Source organism: Homo sapiens, chromosome 4 (assembly GCF_000001405.40).
Source record: "Homo sapiens chromosome 4, GRCh38.p14 Primary Assembly".
Lineage (NCBI taxonomy): Eukaryota > Metazoa > Chordata > Mammalia > Primates > Hominidae > Homo > Homo sapiens.
In genome coordinates, this window is record NC_000004.12 from 111794404 (window position 1) to 111814793 (window position 20390).

Below are 20390 nucleotides of genomic sequence, written 5' to 3' on the forward strand. Positions count from 1 at the left end.
GAAAGATTAAGTGGGTCATATTAAAATGGTTCAAGAAGATTCTAGAGTATCAGGAGAGCCCAGGGTTTTCAGGTTTGATTTAAATCTATATGCATGCACATCAGATCTAATTGAAAAGGTTAAAATCTTAGGATCACTTATTTTGTAATACTCACAGGGGTTTTAGATTCTCATAAAACCCTTTCATTAAATTCCATGGCCTATTTTTAAAGTTATTTGTATTTATTTTCAACTAGTAAAGAGGAAAACATTATTTAGAAACTCAGCATAACTACATCAGTAAAATAGTACAAGCAGAGAGTTAAGCATGAGCCCCAAACTCTCCCAACACCTAACTCCTCATACTTTTATTGTGTGGCTATGACATACTTTTCTTAGATCATCTTCAATCTTTATGGCAAAGAAAAAGGCTTCCTTCAAGTCACAAGACTATAGAAGTATATAGTTATGATAGTTATATGTATCCAAAAGACTGTTAAACAACTTTTTGGCATAACTTGAGACTCAATTCAAAACATCACCATTGTTATAACTCAGTCTATTATTACAGTCCTTTATTTTATGATAATTTCAACAAATAGATGAAAATATCTCATTTCTAATGTCAACTATAGAAACTATAATACAGCAACTCTATTAAAATAAGAAAAGACTTCATGTCTAGATAGATTTTAATCAATGCCTCTTATATCAAGATGGATAAAGTACTGCTGAAAGATACATGTAAGTGTACCTAAGCTAAGTATACAATGGAGACTCTTAAAAGAGATTATGTAAATGAGGGCCAATTCAAAAGTAAAGTTTAAAAAAAATGAATTAGAGAATTTATCCAGTTTCAGATGCCTTGGTTTCAGACAGTATGACAAGAACTTGATTTTCCTTTCTTAAAAAAAACGAAGTAAAGAAAAAACCATTATTTTCAGAAATAGGTGACTTTAAAAATTGAAGTTGAGAAGATGAAAATTAAAAAGAACAAATTTTGATAAGTAACAGAAAAGATTTCAGAGTAATACTTAAAACAAATCAGTGTTATATTAGAGGTAGCTGCAAGTTTAGAGCCTTGAAGTTTTGTTATGGAAATCCAAAGGATATCATATAAGACACTTTCTTTGTTCTGAAATATCTTTATTTAATCTTAGCTCTATTCTTTTGGTTTAAATTAAATCTTATGAAGAAGTCTTCTTTCTTAAAGAATTGTTGTGCCTATCTTAAGTGAGTTTACATACAGTCCCTTATCTTTGAGTAAATAAGTGATTGGATAGTTATATTGCTATCGGTAACATTTTTCTGAGGAATTAACTAAAGAGAAAGCATTGAGTTTGAGGCATCCAGATAGAGGAGAATCTTTCAGACCTTTTGGAGAGGTATATTCCTTTCCAATATCAGGCAGATGCACATCTCAATTGCTCTTTATTTTTATCTATCTATTGACTAGGATATTCTGCTAAGGAACAAACAACAGCATCCATGGGATGAGCTATCAAGTGTGAGAGAGCTATCAAGTGTGATGTAACTGCCCCATAGAGATTGTGTTCCTTGTTTTCCTCCCTCTGTTATCTTGCTAGACAAATCTCTTCAGCCTTTAATTGCAGCCTTGACTGTGCAATAATTAACAGTTTGGGTTGGGAGGAGGGTCTTTTTTTTTTTAAGATATATATAATAGATTAGATGTTTTCAATATAAACCTCAATTTAAGCATGGAATTGATTTGTAAAATAGAAATTGCTTGGCAACTGTCATTTAATGGTCCACTTTTCCTGCGAGAAAGCATTTTGATTGATTGGGTATTTTTTAAGATGAATATATGAAGTTGATTTAATTGATATCAGAGCCATTCTTAACATTTATCATTAGATACAATATGTATAGCTGACTAGCATGTTATCTTTTTTTTGGAAAAGGTCAACTAAAGTGAAAGAGATTCTTCCTTTGTAGCTCCTCCCAAAATAAACATTAACTCCTGCATCTGAGAGAGCAGGCTGAGGGAAGGCTCCAGAACAATATTGTCTATGTGAGGTGGAAACTGCTACTGAGGAGCTCAGATTCAAAAATTCCCTGTAATCATGAGGCCAAATAAGCTCCAGCTGAGATAATTCACTGGGCTTTCATGAGTTACAGTCACATCTCCTGAGAGTTTATTACAGGACAAAGTAAAGTAGATTAATTAAACCAAAATGTGCTACAAAAAAAAAATGAGAAACTGACTTCATAATATAGCACTGTCAGACCTAGTTTAAATAGATGTTAAAAAGAAACTAATCATTAGAAAACAATTTAGCAAGAGTCAGGTAAAAAAATAATTGTTTTCTTAATGAACCCCTTTTAATAGTGTGATGATAATATTGTACAATGTTTACTCCAAATGAATATATGATATAGTGAAGATTTATTTTCTCAAGGAGATCCTACAAAGTGATATCTCTTCATGTGTATGAAAATTTTACACTTGATTCAGTGTTTTTATATTATGAAATAAATTATTTTAATATATAATTTATATTACTAAACTTATTCTAAGTATAAGCACATATGTGTGCATATTCATGTGTGTATATATGTTGATCAAGTTTAGAGAACCATAACTTTGGTTATTCATAGAAAAAAAATGTCAGAATAAATTTTTTTCTTCACCCTACCTTAAACATGAGTTATGATGTGGAACTGATCTCAACTTTCCATCAAATTTAGCCTTGATCAAATAAATCCCCTGGACCTAAAGCAAGGTAGGTCAGATGTTCGGTGAGACAAGAGCCTAAGACAGCTCTCCTTGCTGGCCGCCATGACCACCATTTGAACCACCATTGGTTTCCAGGACCATGTGAACCTATGGTTTTAGAAATTAAAAGTGCCATGTACTGAAAACATAAGATATACATCTCCACAATTTATTAGGCATGTTCTCAGGGCTGGCTACCATTTTGTGGGACCCAGTGCAAAATCAAAATTCAGGGCAACAGCAGAGCATTAAACTAAGTGCTTGGCACTTTGGCTTGGAGCCCTGTGTGACTACACTGGTCACACCACACACCTGGGAAGCTAGCTCCGGGCGTGCTGCAACTTCTAAGTAAGGAATAGCTCAATTTGCTACAAGTAACTTCTCCATGCATCACATTATTCTCTATTAAAAAGTCTCAAAGCACAAATATACATCTGCATTGATTGGATATTCATTCAGAGACCTTTTACCTGGCCTCTGTTTGTGTGGCTTCATATCTTTATGACATGGAATGAACAGCTTGGCGCCACGTTGCTGTTATCCATTAACCATTCCTGTTTTCCTAATCATCTTTGACTCCATCTTTCTCTGTCCTATCTGTTATTGTCTTCGGAAAAGAGATGTGAGGTTTCCTTAGCCTGTTCTGGTTTACGTGACATGATTTGTGTATCTGCCTACAAGAGTTTCTCAAATGAACCCTGTGCATTATCTTCTTTCCCCAACCCCTCCTCCTCTGAAGAAAGAAGAAAAAGGTCATACATCTGTAAAATGACAGCACTTATGAAAAATGAGAGTTTGGCCCACATGGCTCTCATCAGACACAGACTCATCTGCTGTGCCACAGACTCTGCTCATTTCCTTCAGAATCAGACTGCAGTTAAAAACAGGAAACACCTAATAAATTGCCCATACTATCAAATTAACAAAGCATAAGGAAACTTTCCTAGGTAATCAATGAGTATTGCTTGCTTAAAAAATGCAAGTGTCAAACATAAGGAACCTAAAAATATGACCGCACTTTTCTCTATAAAACTACTTTAAGATGTCTACCTAATCTAAATTTAGAAATAAAAAAGCCTACACAGAGATATGGAAAATTGGACTTTCTACCTAATTTTCTGTCATGAAAGGACTGAAAGCATTTCAAAAGCAGTATGACATTTTATCATATAATCATTACTCTGGGATATTTAGGCACACACGTTTTTAAAAAACAGGATAATATGCAATAATCATACAAGTGTCAGGATTGTCAAGGTAGCCCCTTGTGTGTGAAATTCATCAGTCCCATTTTGTAATGAGAAAAAAGTCTCAATATTATAAAAAGATTTTGTCATAACAATATCTAACTGCCAAAGCTGGGTGTTTTCATTATTCTTGCCTAGAGTGAAATCAGTAATAAACCATAAAGCCAGAGGAAATTTTCTTGAGCTATATTTTGGATTAGAAAAACGCAAGCGAATTTAAATTTCGGGGAAAATTATGCTTATGCAAGTATAACCCTTCCCACTCCTCTACTAAAAAATTTTGTCTCCATGAAAAAAATACATATGAAGGTCTGAAAATACTTTTTGCCCTAATTTCCTACAAAGCTTTTGAAAATCTAATCATTCTAATGCATATGTGTTCTAGGTTCCATTCTTATCCTTAAAACAAACTTCTAGGAAAATGTCAAGAAAATAACTTTTTCAGAAATAACAAAAAGAATATCCCTTAAATTCCTAAGTTTGAACACACTTCTTAGGAAAACCACCTTTATTTCAAGACAGAATTCAACTGCTCTGTCCCTCAGAAGGAACACAAAATGTTTCTACCACTACTCAAAGACATTTTGCTATTCAAATCAAGAGTACCCATCACCAAGAGAGTATTTACAGGATAGAGAGAAAGTATCCTGTGCATGAGTGACCCCTTCAGGTGCTATACTGAAAAGACTATTCTATGCACAGAGTGGGGAGGGTCTCTGCGACGCAATACAAAGTGCTAAGAATTTTCAGGGAAAAAAAAAAATTAACATAGTAATTTATTCCAAAGTTCCCTAAAAGTAATTATTTTTACAATCAAGAAAATGCTTCTTCAACTAATGCATTTCATATGCTATTCACATATATTAAACAAGAAACTTTTTGAATGCTACCTGCAAGAAATAATGATAGCCAGAATAAAAATGTCAGGTTCTATTTCAAATAATTCATACTTTGACCGTGTAAGAATAGTAGAATTTATCAAATCATGTATCTGGATTTTTTTTCCCAGAAAATATGGCTACTACAACAATGAGAGATATAATAAAGTATAATTCCTGCACTTTAGAAGTATGGGATAAATTACAAACTGCATGAAAAAATCACTAAAATAATTTCATAATTAAGCTAGACTTGTCAAGGAAGTCAAAACTTCATAATCTTCATAGTCTCACATAAAATGTCTGAAGCTACCCGAACAGTGGGCTGGCAGGGAAAAACAAGTACAGTCATCCCTCAGTATAGCCAGGGAATTGGTTCCAGGACCTCCACATATACCAAAATCAGCACATAGCCAAGTCCCACAGTAGTACCTGTGGAACCCGCAGATGCAGAGTCAGACCTCCATATCCTGCAAACTGTACATTTGGTCAGTGTTTGGTTGAAAAAAATCTGCATACAAGTAGACCCATGCAGTTCAAACCCATGTTGCTCATGGGTCAACTGTATTTATAACATGGATAATTTTGTCTCTGTGAAAACTAAAATGACATTAGAGTAGGACTCAAGCAGAATTAACAAGAATCCAACCAAGTGCCTAAGCAGGAGATGGTGAACTGCCCAACTCAAGTTGTTACGCTATGTGCGTTGCTTTCTATGAGGTGGGGCCATAATGATGTGAATCTGGAGAGCGGTGTAACACCTGTCTATAGTACAGTAGAATCCTGGACCTGGTGTGGCAGTGGAAGATGGGATGAGGGAATGCCTCAGCCAGAGTGGTGGTGGTGGTTAAATATAGGATTCAACTTCCCAGAAATGGAAGAGAAAATGAGGGTATGACTCAAATCAGCCTGATGTTGAGGGCAAGATTTCATCTTGGATGATACTTGGACTTCAAACTAGTAATCATGGGATCCATATGGAGTTGGCTGAGAAAAAGACAAGCTATTTTCCTATCAGAGTTCACCCACTAAACACCAGATTCAAGGAAGAAGGCAGCAGAGTGATTTCTTACCCCTTCTTTGTGGCAAGACTTAAGGCCCCTATAGGTAGTCCGAGTTAACTTTCATTGTCTCAGCAACTAAACCAAATATTGGGCAAAATGTTCCAGCAGAAATGAACGCATGGAAGGATTTGATTTGAGCGTTTGAGGAAGGGTGAGCTCTTGAAAAGAAAGCAGAGAAATACAGAATTTGTTAAGGAATAAGTGATATTTCATGTTGTATTTATTATGGAAAGCCTGGTTATCAGGCATTCTGCTAATCATCAAATTCAGTAATCAATACTTGCATATGCGAATGGTGTGTTAGGCTGTTCTTGAGTTGCTACAAAGAAATGTTTGAGGCTGGGTAGTTTATAAAGAAAAGAAGTTTAATTGGCTCAGTTTCTGCAGGCTGTACCAGCATGGCTCCAGCATCTGCTTCTGATAAGGGCCTCAGGAACCTTACCATCATGGCAGAGCTGAAGCGGGAGCAGGAATATCACATAGTGAGAGCAGGAGCAAGAGAGAGTGAGGGGGAAGTTGCCACACACTTTTGAACAACCAGACATTGTGAAAACCATCACAATCACTAGGACAGCACCAAGACATCCATGAGGAATCCACCCCCATGATCCAAACACCTCCCACCAGGCCCCACCCCCAACACTGGGGATTTCAATTCAACATGAGATTTGGAGGGGACAAACATCCAAACTGTATCAAGTAGTAAATAATTATTAGCGTATAAAATAATAATATGCACACAATAAAGGTCTTCAAAGCCTTTCTGAATGATTTAAAATAATTTTGTATAATGTAATTTCATGTTAAAATATAGTTTTCATATTTAACAGAATTAGAGATTACTTAACTCTCCTAAGTTAATCACAGATCTGTGGCATTAAATTTAGCACACCGTATGGTCTTCTATGCTTGGCTCTGTCCTGATAGCAATTTTAGCAATTATTTTGCGGAACATGTAAAGGAATCCTCATCAACAATTTTAAATGACACAAAACAGTAAATTGGGTTATATACTAGACCAAAGCAAAATTAAAAAATGATCTTGATAGGCACAAAAATGAGTACAAACTATAAATATGAAACTGAACATCAGCTATAACATACTTCTTCAAAGTTAAAAAATAATTTAATATTCTTAGATGAAAAAACCTCAAAATTGTACAGATCTAATGACAATACATTTATTTGTATATTTAATAAACTTTAAATAAAAATAGTTTATGGTGGAAGAGATAGAATCTGACAGTTATAGATTTTATGAATGAATGAATATATAGCAATAATTGACATTTTGAAAAATGACATTAGAAAACTTGTTCCATCAGTTAGTAAAACATAATATAAAGCTACAGTAATAAAGTTGATATGGCATGCACAAACATAGGCAGATCAATAAATCTAAAAATAGAACTAGAGACAAATGCAATAAACAATAATTGGCATTTTGAAGCATTAGGGAATAAATGAATTTATTCAATAATTATGATAAAAAACTGGTTACTTGTGGAAACAAAAAGAACCTTGTATCAAATGGATTTATTTTACATAAATAAAAAAACTAAAAGTACTAAAGGAATATAAGATAATATTTTTATACTTCTTTAGGTGGTGTTTTATTTAGATAGAAATTAAAATCAGACCACGGAGAAAAAGCTTCACACATTTGACCACATAAACTTCTATATTGCAAGACACTATAAATATACTTGAAAGATAAACAGTAAATAAGAAAAACTGTGCAACATATTTATAAAGGGTTAATATCCATAATATAAAGATCTTATAAAATAAAGTCTACACAGTATATAAATGAGCAAAAGACAAAAAAAGGTAATTTTATGTTAACAATTATGTTAACATAAAACTTAACAATTATGTTTAAAAAGTTAACATAGTTAACAATTATGTTTAAAAAGATGCTCAGCTGAATAAAATCAAAGGAATGAAAATTAAGACAAGATGTTTTTCATTTGCCAAATTATCAAGGGTTAAAACTGTGCTATTGCACAGCACAACGTAGCACAGTGCAATAGAAATTTCTGAAATGATAGAAATAGTTTGTATATGTTGCCTACTATGGTAACCACTGGCCACGGGTAGTTATTGTGCAACCTGAAGTATGACTAATGAGACTGAGAAACTAATTTTTAAATTGTATTTTAATTGTAATTAGTTTAAATAGTCACACATTGGCACTGCCTCCATTTTGAACAGCACAGCTATAGATAATAAATGGTGTTTTTGAGGGCCGTATTAGTCCATTCTCATGCTGCTATGAAGAAATTTCTGAGACTGGGTAATTAATAAACAAAAGAAGTTTAATTGACTCACAGTCCCGCATGGCTGGAGAGGCCTCAGGAAACGTACAATCATGGCGGGAGGCACCCCTTCACATTCACAGGGCGGCAGGAGAGAGAAAAAGTACTGAGTGAAGGGGATAGCCCCCTTATAAAACCATGAGATCTCGTGAGAACTCATTCACTATCACGAGAACAGCATGGCGGCAACTGCCTCCGTGATTCAATTATCTCCATCTGGTGCTGCCCTTGACATGTGGGGATTATTACAATTCAAGGTGAGATTTGGGTTGGGGACACAGCCAAACGACATCAAGGGGCAAGGAAAATGGCAACAATCATACCCTGATGGTATGAGTATAAATTGATAGATTTAAGAGGAATATTTGCAGGAAAAAATTCTAATATTTTTAACAGTAATGTTTACAGTGTTTTTACATTAGTATTCTCTCTAGTCTAGCAATTCCATTACTAGAAATTTTCTTATGAAATACTCCTACAAGTAAGCAGAGGTATATACAATAGTAGTTTTATTACAGCCTTAAAACAATCATATTGTTCATCAATACGAGTTTGGTTAAACTGTTGTACCTTTAAGCAATAAAACAGAAAACAACTTTAGAAAAATGTTTGATAAATATTTACTGTCATGGAAAAATGTTTATAGTGTGGGGTTAAGTGAAAAAGCAAATTAATCAATATGAAATTTATCTTATAATTTTCTATTAATTGAAATATTTGATTAATAAGACTGGGCTATGTGCATAACATTCTGATATATCTTATCACAATACATGTTCATTCCAGATAATTAGAAAATACAGAAAGCAAATACAATAAATTTTAAATTACTCATAATCTTGTCAGCACTTAAGGAACTTTATTAAAACTTTAACATAGAAATTACAATACAATACTATTCTGTATTTTTTTCCAACTAAAACTATATCAAAAACGTCTTTTCATATCAATAAGTCAGTTAAAATTACTTCAGAGTGTTCCATTTTGCTTGTTACAATAATTTATTTAAACAACTTTGAATTAATGCATACCTAGCTTTTCTCATTGTTGTCTATTATTTATTTATTTTTTTTTTGAGATGGAGTCTTGCTCTTGTCACCCAGGCTGGAGTGCAATGGCGCGATCTCGGCTCACTGCAACCTCTGCCTCCCAGGTTCAAAAGATTCTCCTGCCTCAGCCTCCCAAGTAGCTGGGATTACAGCCACCCGCCACCATGCCCAGCCCATTTTTTATTATTTTTATTTTTATTTTTAGTAGAGTTGGGGTTTCACCATGTTGGCCAGACTGGTCTCGAACTCCTGACCTCAAGTGATCCACCCACCTTGGTCTCCCAAAGTGCTGGGATTACAGGCATGAGCCACCATGCCCAGCCTGTTGTCTACTATTAATACACACAACACTAAGATGACCACCCTTCTAGTCAAGTCTGTACATATAGTTTTAACTGTTTTGCAATAAATTCTTAGATGTCAGAGAAGCCTATTATACTAGCTCAATAACTAAACTCTCTTTTGTAAGCAAGGCCGACCAATGAATTATTCTTTGCAATTAGATATTTCTACTAATAGGATAATGTATTATCTAGGTTAGTAAAACCCTATTAAAAATCTACCAGATATTAACCTTTCTGACTCACTCATTCTACTGCCGAAAAATCTCCTCTTAATGAGCCTTAAGGAAATATTTGAGGCAACGTTCGCAACTGAACCATTTAGTTTGTGACCATCCATTCTCTTTTCTTTTTCCTTTTATGACTTTTTCAAGAAAGACATAAAAATCTTTTTCAGTAAAAACCTGACCTAGAACATGCTGAATCCCTTCTACCTTGGCAGTGAACGCCTTGAGACAGAAAACAAAACTGTGGCTAAAGAAATTCAATCATTCTTCCCAGAGTGAAGCAGAAGATGTTTCACAGACAGCATGTGTCCTCAGAGCAAATCTCGTTACAGCCTAGTATATGCCTAGATCTGGAAAATAACAAGATGAAAAAAGAGAACCTGAAAGACAGAACTTTGACCGCTTGCAGAAGGAGAAACAGAATTCTCTACAAATTGCATTAAATTATTATGTAAGGAAACAAACATTCCAATGCAGACCAGTCAATTAAGAGACAATATTGCCAGACAAATTCAGCCAAGGTTTCCACCCATTTTCAGAGAGGAAAGACCATCTAACTAACGTATTCATTCTATGTATTTGTGGGCTATATGATCATATTAAATTAACAGGTAATTAACAGTACATATTTCTCACTTCATTGTACAGGTTCAGTTATTCTTAGCTAATCCTTTTTATGGGCTATAATACATTCCCAAGTAAAATATCTATGTCAAATAAACATCTGAAAGAAGTAGAAGTTATTTTATTACTCAAATCAAGGCTATATTTTAAAAAATTTTTAAAAATGCAGAGCAAGTAAGCACTATCCTTTATAGAATACCCCTTAAGAAAAATGATTTCTACCAGCATATGGCATGTATTGCACACAATGCTTTGAAAACGCTTTATCTAGTCGTGTCATTTTGTACATTTAGTCTGTATTGACTAGCTCTTTAAATGAAGCACAGTGCTTATGAGGCCAGTGTGATAACCTCAACATCAATTAAACTGTTGAGGTTAAATAACTTCAGGTTGCTTTAAGTGCATGAATATGGTGCACGTGCACAGTACACAGGCAAACACACACACACTACACAAAACCAACAGTGAAAACTAGAAAAACTATGTTAATAATTTAGTGCAATTCACTACTACTTTTAGATAAAGCAAGCCAAAACATGTCATGCTGATGTGTTTTTCCTCTATAAAAATATCTCATTTTTCATTGTAGGTGAGAGAAATACCAATCTGAAGTAATAGATAATTTGAATTATAGAAACATATCAAAGAAGTATATATAGGATTATTTTTCTGAGTACACACAGTAATAATACTAAAATGTGTTCTGCTAGAGATTCTTAGGAGTCTAACTGAAAGGAACCCAGGATCATGACTTGCTATGAGCATAACAATTGTTTGCCTCACATGTGCGTATCCTAAATTTTTGAAAGCAGGACCCTTTAGTAGCAAGCATACTAAATAGTATTATTAAACATTAAACACTAAGTCTGTTCTAGCCACTCTTCAATGCTTTACCCGTATTTACAGTCAATCCTCACAACAACCCTGTAGAGCAGATAAAAAAAAATAAATAAACTTGCCCAATATTGTACAGTTAGAATTAAGAAAAGCTGGAACTGAATCTCAGGTATGTCTGACCTCAGACCCCAAGTTCATTAGCTACTACACTATATAGGCTCATGAAAATATCAAATAGCCAACCCACAGCCTTTTGTATATTTTTAAGATTTTAATAGGCCTTTTGTCTTAAACAATGGATAAATTTAAATTTAGCTCTTGTCTCAAATCCATTGGTTCACAATTCTTTATACCTATGTTTGATTGTTCAATGTGGAAAGGATACTATTATTATATTGATAATATTTCTAAGCAAATTTCCTACATTATCTAAAGTCCTTTGTGGGAATAGATGAAGTTAAAAGTAACTGAATACATACATATATACATAACAATATCTGTGAATATTTTTCTCTGCTAGAAATGAGACAACAGAAATGGGTAAGATGGGCAAGGAAGTGCAGAAGAGTTATTGAAAAAGGAGACTTCAAGCCCACAAAGCAAATGTAGCAGGCAGAGAAGAATGTGAAACTACAAACCCTAGTTGGAGCCCCATCCCATGGGAAGGCAGGGAATTTTTTTCCCGTACTCCATGTGGGTATTACAAAGGTAATACAGTATAGCATAATGCCAGTACTTTAAGAAGTCTCTTCTGGACTTCTCTCTGAATGGCTTCATACAGAGATAACCTTTGTCCAAGCTCACGTCAGGCCCTGAAATCCCGCTGTGTACCAGAGGTGGCACAAGGGAGTCTTGGCTAAGGCTGGAAACCTGAGGCTCAGGACCAGCGTCCAGGGCCAACCTCTTGGACATTCCCTTCTAAGGACTTTTAACCTCCCCGTGGGGAGCTCATGGCTTCCAGGGCCACCTAGCCTCAAGTAATGCCTGCACTCCAGCCTCTCTCCTCAGTGTTCAAGCTTCTAGAAAACAAAATCCATAAATACAGACAGCTTGCAAATAACTTCTACATTTTGCCCTCTAAGTCAACTTCCCCTGAAGGCACAGAGTCTGGCTACAAGTTTGAACCCAGGGGGAAATAATAGAGGAAAAACTAAAAATAATGTCTTGCCCATAAATAATATGCAAAGGTAAGGAAAACAATATTTTTTCCTCTTTTCTCTCTATCATGCCCTATTCCTCATTGACTCTTGCTTTATAAATCACACCGTCTCTAACTTTTACCATTTCTCTCATGCTTTCATCTCTCTTTTCCTATCTCTCCAGGACGTATACCCCTTACTTGAGATAGTGGTGCTGAAAAGGGCCTCCATTTTTGCTACAGTATTAGTTGAAACCGGCAGGGGAACACCTTGAATCTGTAGAAGTATTTGTTAATAACGAACTCTGCATCTTTTAAGTTTAATATCGTGTGTGTGTGTGTGTTTGTGTGTGTGTGTGTGTGTGTGTGTGTGTGTGGAGAGAGAGAGAGAGAGAGAAAGACAGAGACAGAGAAATCATTTTCCTTTTTTATTTTCAACAATGTTTGGCAATGACTATACCAATAATCTTGAGGAAATTCCAGTCAAACACCTAATACCCACCCTGACAAATATGGCAAGTGTATATGCAGTGTTTATAATTTGATGATAAAATAACCACTTTAATTTACAAAAGCCAGTTCTCTGGCATAAACTTTTTTCAGACACAGACACTTCAATATTTTCAAGTTTCCCAGTCCCTTAATTGTTTAACTCACCCAAGTTTTAGCATATTACAAAGAGAAGTTGCATTTAACAGATGTTCATTTCAAAGACCTTCAGAACATTATAAATTATGATAAATTAATTTCCTCATTTCACAGTTTGACAAAGCAGCTCTGAGAGCTTGCCTTGGTCTATACTAAAGGGAGGGAAGAGAAAAAAGCAGGAGGTCGGGATCCCAGGAAAAGGAGCGTCTCTTGACTCAGTAAGTGGCTCTGTCACATAAAACTCATGTCGGCTCTTAAGGAGCCAAGCCAGCTGTATCCAATGTGCCACAAATGCTCTGGCCTCTTTTTTCTCCAGTTCAGTTATTGTGTCTATAAATTCAGCGGGCCACCTGTGCAATGTGCTCATCCGAAAGAACCCCAAAGGAGGCATTAACATATCAAGGCTCATAAAGTACAAATCCTTAAATGTGAAAACTGACACTTTCCTCCTCTCCAGGCTACATCTATATAGATTTCTTTTTAATGAAAAAGAAAAGGCTTATTTTTTTGCTTACAGTAAAATGCCTTTGTGTGGCGTTACGTAATTAATGACTGCATTTTTAAAATTTCTACTATTGTAAAGCTACCTAACTTTATTCTCCTTTGAATCTAAATGTGAGTCCATGGTTAGAATACCCATCCCTATCAGTAACTCATCAATCAATTTAATCATGAATACTACCTATGACTTGTGTTGGACAAGCATCAACTCATAGGACCAAAAACAAATAAGCTTTAAAACTAACTGAATAGATCTTCCCCCACACACATACTTTCAATTCTCTTTTAAACTAGTTTTTCTGAAAATCTGTCACCTACTGGGGAATCCAACAGAGAATCCATTCCTCTACCTTGCTTCTCTAACTCTAACAATAGTCAAACGTTGTAATGTATTTAGTAACATACCTCTATTAGTATTTCACCTGGAAGGTTGTGATTATCTTCTCTGTCTCTTCCTTTACATTGTAAACTTCTAACAGCAGTTCTTAATGGTAGTTGAAAAGGAGCTGAACAGATCATTTAGGGACCTCTTTGTGTCTTTACATTCACCTTCCCGTCACTTCTACCCACTCCAGAAGACTAACAGAACGAGAAGATGGAGAGCAGAAAATGAAAAGAGGTCATGTGTAGTTTACAAAGCTCCCTACTGTAAGGAGGAGATATAGTGCATGCATATTTGTGTGCATATCAGTACCTGGTACATCACAGGAAATTAATAAACTCTGAATAAATGAGTGAGTGAAACCAGGTAAGGCAAAACCTTTCCATTCTGATAAGTCAACACTAATAATTTCAAGTAAATTTGTTAACCAAGCCCATTTTGACCAAAAAGAAAATACAAATTATTTGGATGCATTATTTTCTAATCAATATGTGTTGATTAAACCAGTGGTTGGGAGAGCAGAGAAGGTGGGAGATAATCATTGTGGGGGGAGGGGGGAAGGAAGCAATGTTGATGTTTAAGGGCAAAGCCAGTGTAATGTATGGAAAGCAAAGAGAAGCTCTGGGGTTAATGACTGTTGGGCCACCAATTTCTGCACAAGAGCCAGAACACTTAACTTACATTTGAACGTGTGCCTAAAAGCTGAACCCAAGCTGCCACACTTCACCATTTCCTTACTGATAAAACATTGCAAATTATCATCAAAATGTGATAACTATTTAAGATGAGGCAATAAACACACATTTTGTGATACTCCCTGCATGGTCAGAAGCAACATCCCTCCTTAACAGGGAGTGAGACAAAGAAAAGGATAAGATTCAGTCACTTAAGCTAGTTAAATTTCAGAGTGTGTATAAAAGAATTAACCTTACCCAAAGAGAGGTCTGGCCTTTGCCCTTGTCTCCTGGGAGGTGGTCTCTAGGAAGAGTGGCTTTGCTTACCTGGGGGCTTTAGGTCACACCAGACATTCTAACAACATGACTTATGATAGGGGCTTTCTGCCATGTAGTAACCACTCTGCCTCCAAAGAGGCTGAAGACTAAAGGCCAGACACTCAGGCAGTCAGCTACATGATTGGGCCCCACTAAAAAGTATGAACACAAAGCTCAGGTAAACTCCCCGGTTGGCAGTACTCACTGTGTATTGTCACATGTCATTGCCAGAAAAGCAGCGCTGTCCATGACTCCGTGAGGAAGGGTAACTGAAAGCTCCTGGTTTGGAACCTTCTTGGATTCTGCCCCATGCATCTCTTCCCCTGGGTGATTTGTGTCTGTATCCTTTCCCTGTAATAAACTGTAAATGTGAGTAAAACAGTTTTCAGTGAGTTCTGAGTCCTTCTAGTGAACTCTCAAAACTGAATGTGGTCTTAGGAAGCCCTGAACTCTGGAGTTGTTGTCAGAAGTGAGGGCAGTCTTGTGGATGGCTCTCTAAGTTTCTACAGGGCTTGTCTGATTTTTTTAAAGTCACAGATTCTCAGTACTTCGACACAGGAATTAATTATTTCACATTTCAAAATATATCTATTATCAGCCAGGTGCGGTGGCTTGCGCCTGTAATCCCAGCACTTTGGGAGGTTGAGGTGGGCGGATCACGAGGTCAGGAGATCGAGACCATCCTGGCCAACACGGTGAAACCCCGTCTCTACTAAAAAAAAAAAAAAAAAAAAAAAATTAGCTGGGCGTGGTGGCAGGCACCTGTAGTCCCAGCTACTTGGGAGGCTGAGGCAGGAGAATGGCGTAAACCCGGGAGGCGGAGCTTGCAGTGAGCCAAGATCGCGCCACTGCACTCCAGCCTGGGCGATAGAGCGAGCCTCTGTCTCAAAAAAAAAAAAAGAAAAAGAAAAAGAAAAAAGCGACTTACTCCTAAAACTCAGACAATATTCCCATCCTGACATTGTGTGGCGGGAGCCTGGGTCTGTTCCCCAACCCCCAGTGTTCGTAGATCGAGTTATTTTGACAAGCCAGGGTGGCAGGTATCGGATGGAAAAAATGGGATGATTTGGAACAAAAAGAACATGGCTCAAGTCCAAATTCCGTTACTTAGATCTGACTGAGCTTGAGCACATCAATTGACTTCTGTAAGCATTAGGTTCCTCTGAAAAACAAACTCAGTACCCTACTACCTAACACCAAAACAAAAGCACTTTGAAAATTCTAAGGCAGTATTGTCAAACTCTAGTGTGCCTCAGAATTACCTGGAAGGCTTGTTAGAACACAGATGGCTGTGCCCCACCTTTAGAGTTTCTACTTCAGTAGGTCTTGGGTGGTGCCTAGAAATTTGCATTCTAACAAGTTGCCTGGTGATGTTGATGCTGCTGGACCAGGAGCCACACTTTGAGAATGACTTCTCTAAAATACTATACAAAGATAAATAAATAACATTACTTTAGTACTAGGTGCCAAAGTAGCTATTAAATACTTCACCGGAGAAAGAAGTCCTCTGAAATAAAATACAACCCATTGCTTAAGGCTGTGGCGAGGCTGAACATAGATGCGCCCTCAGTACGCAGAACATCTCAGACTACCACAAGGATTACCACAGGAGGCATGGACGTGATGTGGTGACATTTTTTCCACCAGACACTGCTGTGCTCAACAAATTGAAAGAGAGGAGTGCCTTAGACACACAATTCATTTTAAAGTCCCAAAATACTGGCTTTCTAGTAGAAATCAATTCCCTATTTGGGAATTTGACTTTATTCTTGTTTTTGCTTTTTAAATCTTACCAATTAAGTTTTGATCAAGGATAATTTGGACTCCGTTTCCAATAGAAATATTTGGTAAATAGCAGTATCCCTTTACACAAAGCTAATTGAGGGATGGCAAGCTTTGGTAGTGGTGGTTAATTGTAATTCCATTCCTTCCATCTAGTTCACTACTATTAAATATAAAAACACAAAAATTATAGTGTTAAGACTGCTGTTTGGACAGAATTTTAAGATTTAATTTAAAACTTTCAAGAACATTGGAAGTTTCTTTCTAAGATAAACTTATTTTCAAGAGCGAAAGAAAATAAAGAACTATAAAAATAAAATTATTCATAGCATTTATACACACTTATCTTCCATGGTAATGCCGAAGTTACTCTTTTCTTCATGTGCCACTCAAAATAGCACAATTTGCCTTCTTAAATGGACCCTTGACAAAGAAGTTATGTTAAAGTGATCATTTCACGATGTCCCTTGTGTCTTAAAAATATCCTGGGGGTTCAAGTCGGCATCCAAGGAAGACCCCTCTACTTTGTTCAATTTGACCACAAATCATTATTCTACAACATGAAAACCTTAGAACATTTTAAAAGACCAAAGTTTCTTTCTTCCTCCATTAAGACTCAGTGCTGTATTAACATATTTCTACTGCAGACCTACTTGTCAAAATCAAACTTATGACGTGCTTTAGGCCAGAGCCTGGTGTCACCTTCTGAGTCAGTTTTCTTATTAATCTTCTGGCTTACTAGAAAAATGTTATGAGGTATTTGTGCATAGTAAAGATAGATCAGATAGTGTTGAGAACGACACAGCATTTTTTCTAACAGCACTAGCTAGCATGCTAGCATGGTTGAAAATGTAAGTTATACTACATGTTCCTGTTCTGAGAATATGAATGCATATGAGCTTCCTAAAATAAATCTCTTAAATTCATTAACACCTTTCCCAACAAGCCCTTCAATAGCCCTCTCAAAAGCTTTCGAATAAATAGATGTAGAGAAGAGTCTCTATTTACCTTTGTTTGATGACTTGCTGGAAAATCGATATAGACCATTGACATAATTAGGGACAATAAATGGACTCAGAAACTAGTTTTTCAATGGGGAAGTGGATAGGGGAGCTATGTAGCTATGAACTACAGAGAACTGGATTACAAAATCCACACAGTAGTCCCTCCTATGCAAAATAATTGTTTGGGCTGCCTGTCATATTTAATAACCATGAAAATTGTAAATTACTGACAGTGATCATGTTGAATTCCCAAACTTAATATACACCCAGGCTTATTATAAAATATTTACATTTTATTGAAAATGCGTAAGTAATTTACAATTCCAGCAAAAAGTATAGTTGTGATTCCAAATATGTATATAATGAACATTCCATTCAACTTATCCCTAACATGGGTAAAATAAGCAACTTGTAACTTTGATGAAATCTCAAATAAACTATTTGATAATGAAAAACTACCTAATGTAATGTGATAAGAAAATACATCTTGGGAAATACTTAACAAATTTGCTTGAGACAAAGAGATAAAGCACCAAAGCCACTGAACCATTGTCTTAGTGCAATAAAGAATGGGGGCTCTATTCTCTGCAAATCCTAAGTGAGATAAGGCAAATTCTCGTGATATGTCCTCTCCATATTCTCAGGTTCTGAAAGACATATGCTCAAACAAGCTTAACTTCTTATTGAAGAACAAGAAGGCTGTTAAGGAGCAGGTGTATCCTAGTCAGATCTTCTACACTGTCTTACAATGCCCTAAACCTTTAGCTCTTTTTGCATGTGTGTTGGGGAGGGGAGTAGCTGATTTGATGATGTCATGAATTGTTTTCTTCCATGATATGTAAAATGGAACATAGTTCAAGCTTTATCACATTAAGATATATAAATGACTTTAAGGTCCATTCCCCCTTTATATTAATGAAGTCATTCACAATGAATAATATGTTTATTTTTCCCATTCTTTTTTCAGAGAGTGGAAGCAAATATAGGTCCATAAATATCCCAAAAACCACTAAAAAGACTGGATTACTAACCTTTATGGCTCATTACCTCAGTCTCAAAATCTCTTAAAGCTCTTCGACGGTTAATCTTGAATTTATTTTCATTTAATTGTTCAAGTTGCCCATCACACTGAACATTATTCTACTAAGCACAAAAGAAAAAAAATACACCTATCTATGTATATTATATAAAATATATGCTTATAAAATTATATAAGTAAAACCACACCCATATGTTTTTCCAATACACATTATAAGAAGGCTCTGCTGGCACTCATTTGTTTTATTGGTTTAATAAATTATTGATGATCTAATAAGTGTCAGGCACTAAATACTGGGTAAAAATATTAGATATGTTACCTAACTTTGTGAACTTCACACACTACTAAGGGAGACAAACTCAAACAGATAATTACAACATAGTGTGAAAGGTGCTTTATTAGAGTTTTTTTTTTTCATTTTACTACAAATACAAAACAAGAGACCCATTAGTTGAGTTTCCCTAAAAGCTTCATGTCTGAGTCTTTCTCTGTGTCTAGGAGTTTCCTCATAACTCATCAACTTGTGATACCACCCACCCTCATCTATCCTACCAGCCCACACACTACCACTGTTACACATGAAGGTTAACTGCTTGCTTTAATTCAGTCAATCTGTAAACCCCCATCCCTGGCAGCAGTTCATTGTCATTATCAAGTGATTTCAAAACTATCCCCACCACAAACACATCCACCTATCAGTGAGCAAAATTAGTTCTGCTGCTCTTCCAGAGTACATCAAAGCAAACGTAAACATTTTAAGTGGGCCACAAAATGAGAATGGCATTAACAGTCCTTGACTCAAAAGAACAAAAGCATTGGCACGAATGCCTGATAGTTTCCTTTTAAACAGAGACTTGATATACTCTGAGCACTTATGGGGCTGGATCCAGGCTCTATGCTGGGTATTGTGGAATCAGAAATGAGTGATACCTGGTCGCTGCTGTAGAGGATTATGTACTCTAACAATTGTTATTAAAATAAAGAAACTGGCTTTAAGACATGTATTTGTAACAGAACTGTTACCAGCAAATTTGACTACACAATGCTTCTTTATAAGAATTTTCTCCTTTGTTAGCTCTTCAACTACCAATTTTAAATATAGAAGACATGTTTTTAATAGTGCATGGGGGTAGGGATACTGCCTTATTCATTGAGTTAAAATGTTTTTTTCTCTAAGAAAAGTCAGTAGAATGTGGGAATTTACAGAATGCCAACAATACTGAAGGAAGTGCTTTCCAGTACTGTTCATGGCTTTCCAGTACAGTTCATGCAGAATTCTCTTTGTCCTGGGGCATTAGTTCCAGTATTGGACCCTCTGATATTATACAAAATTCGTCTGTCCAAGACGCCCTTGACTATTTCCTGAAATAGTCCTTTTTCCTCTGGACTGGATACATTAACAATCTTTAATAAATTTAGATGGCATTATTGCACTTTAGCAGTAGGTCTCTATCAATTACCCTGCATGGTTTTCAAATTCAAGGTTGATTCATATGAACTGGGTAAGACTGAAATTCTGCATATTATATTCTGTTTTATTATCAGTGCTATTTGCAGACAGGAGACAAAAAAATGCTTACCAATTCTCATCATGTTCATTCCC

General features: G+C 35.9%; 1 long non-coding RNA gene across 1 annotated transcript in view, besides 1 other annotated feature; it reads right to left on the reverse strand.

Annotated features, from left to right (window-relative positions):
• Positions 1 to 9062: 9062 nt before the first annotated feature.
• The window catches only part of LINC02945 (long intergenic non-protein coding RNA 2945), a 308805-nt gene continuing 297477 nt past the window's right edge, over positions 9063 to 20390 (reverse strand). The window contains exons 2-3 of the long non-coding RNA NR_186683.1: positions 15168 to 15313; positions 9063 to 10190 (exon numbers count right to left, since the gene is read on the reverse strand). This is a non-coding gene — a long non-coding RNA (long intergenic non-protein coding RNA 2945). The remainder of the gene's footprint in view (positions 10191 to 15167; positions 15314 to 20390) is intronic.
• Positions 13684 to 14264: an enhancer, noted in NCBI's record as "NANOG hESC enhancer chr4:112729243-112729823 (GRCh37/hg19 assembly coordinates)". NCBI's record gives its function as "activates a minimal SCP1, AML or CMV promoter by ChIP-STARR-seq in primed H9 embryonic stem cells {active_cell/tissue: H9 hESC(primed)}" and the evidence as "EXISTENCE:reporter gene assay evidence [ECO:0000049][PMID:30033119]".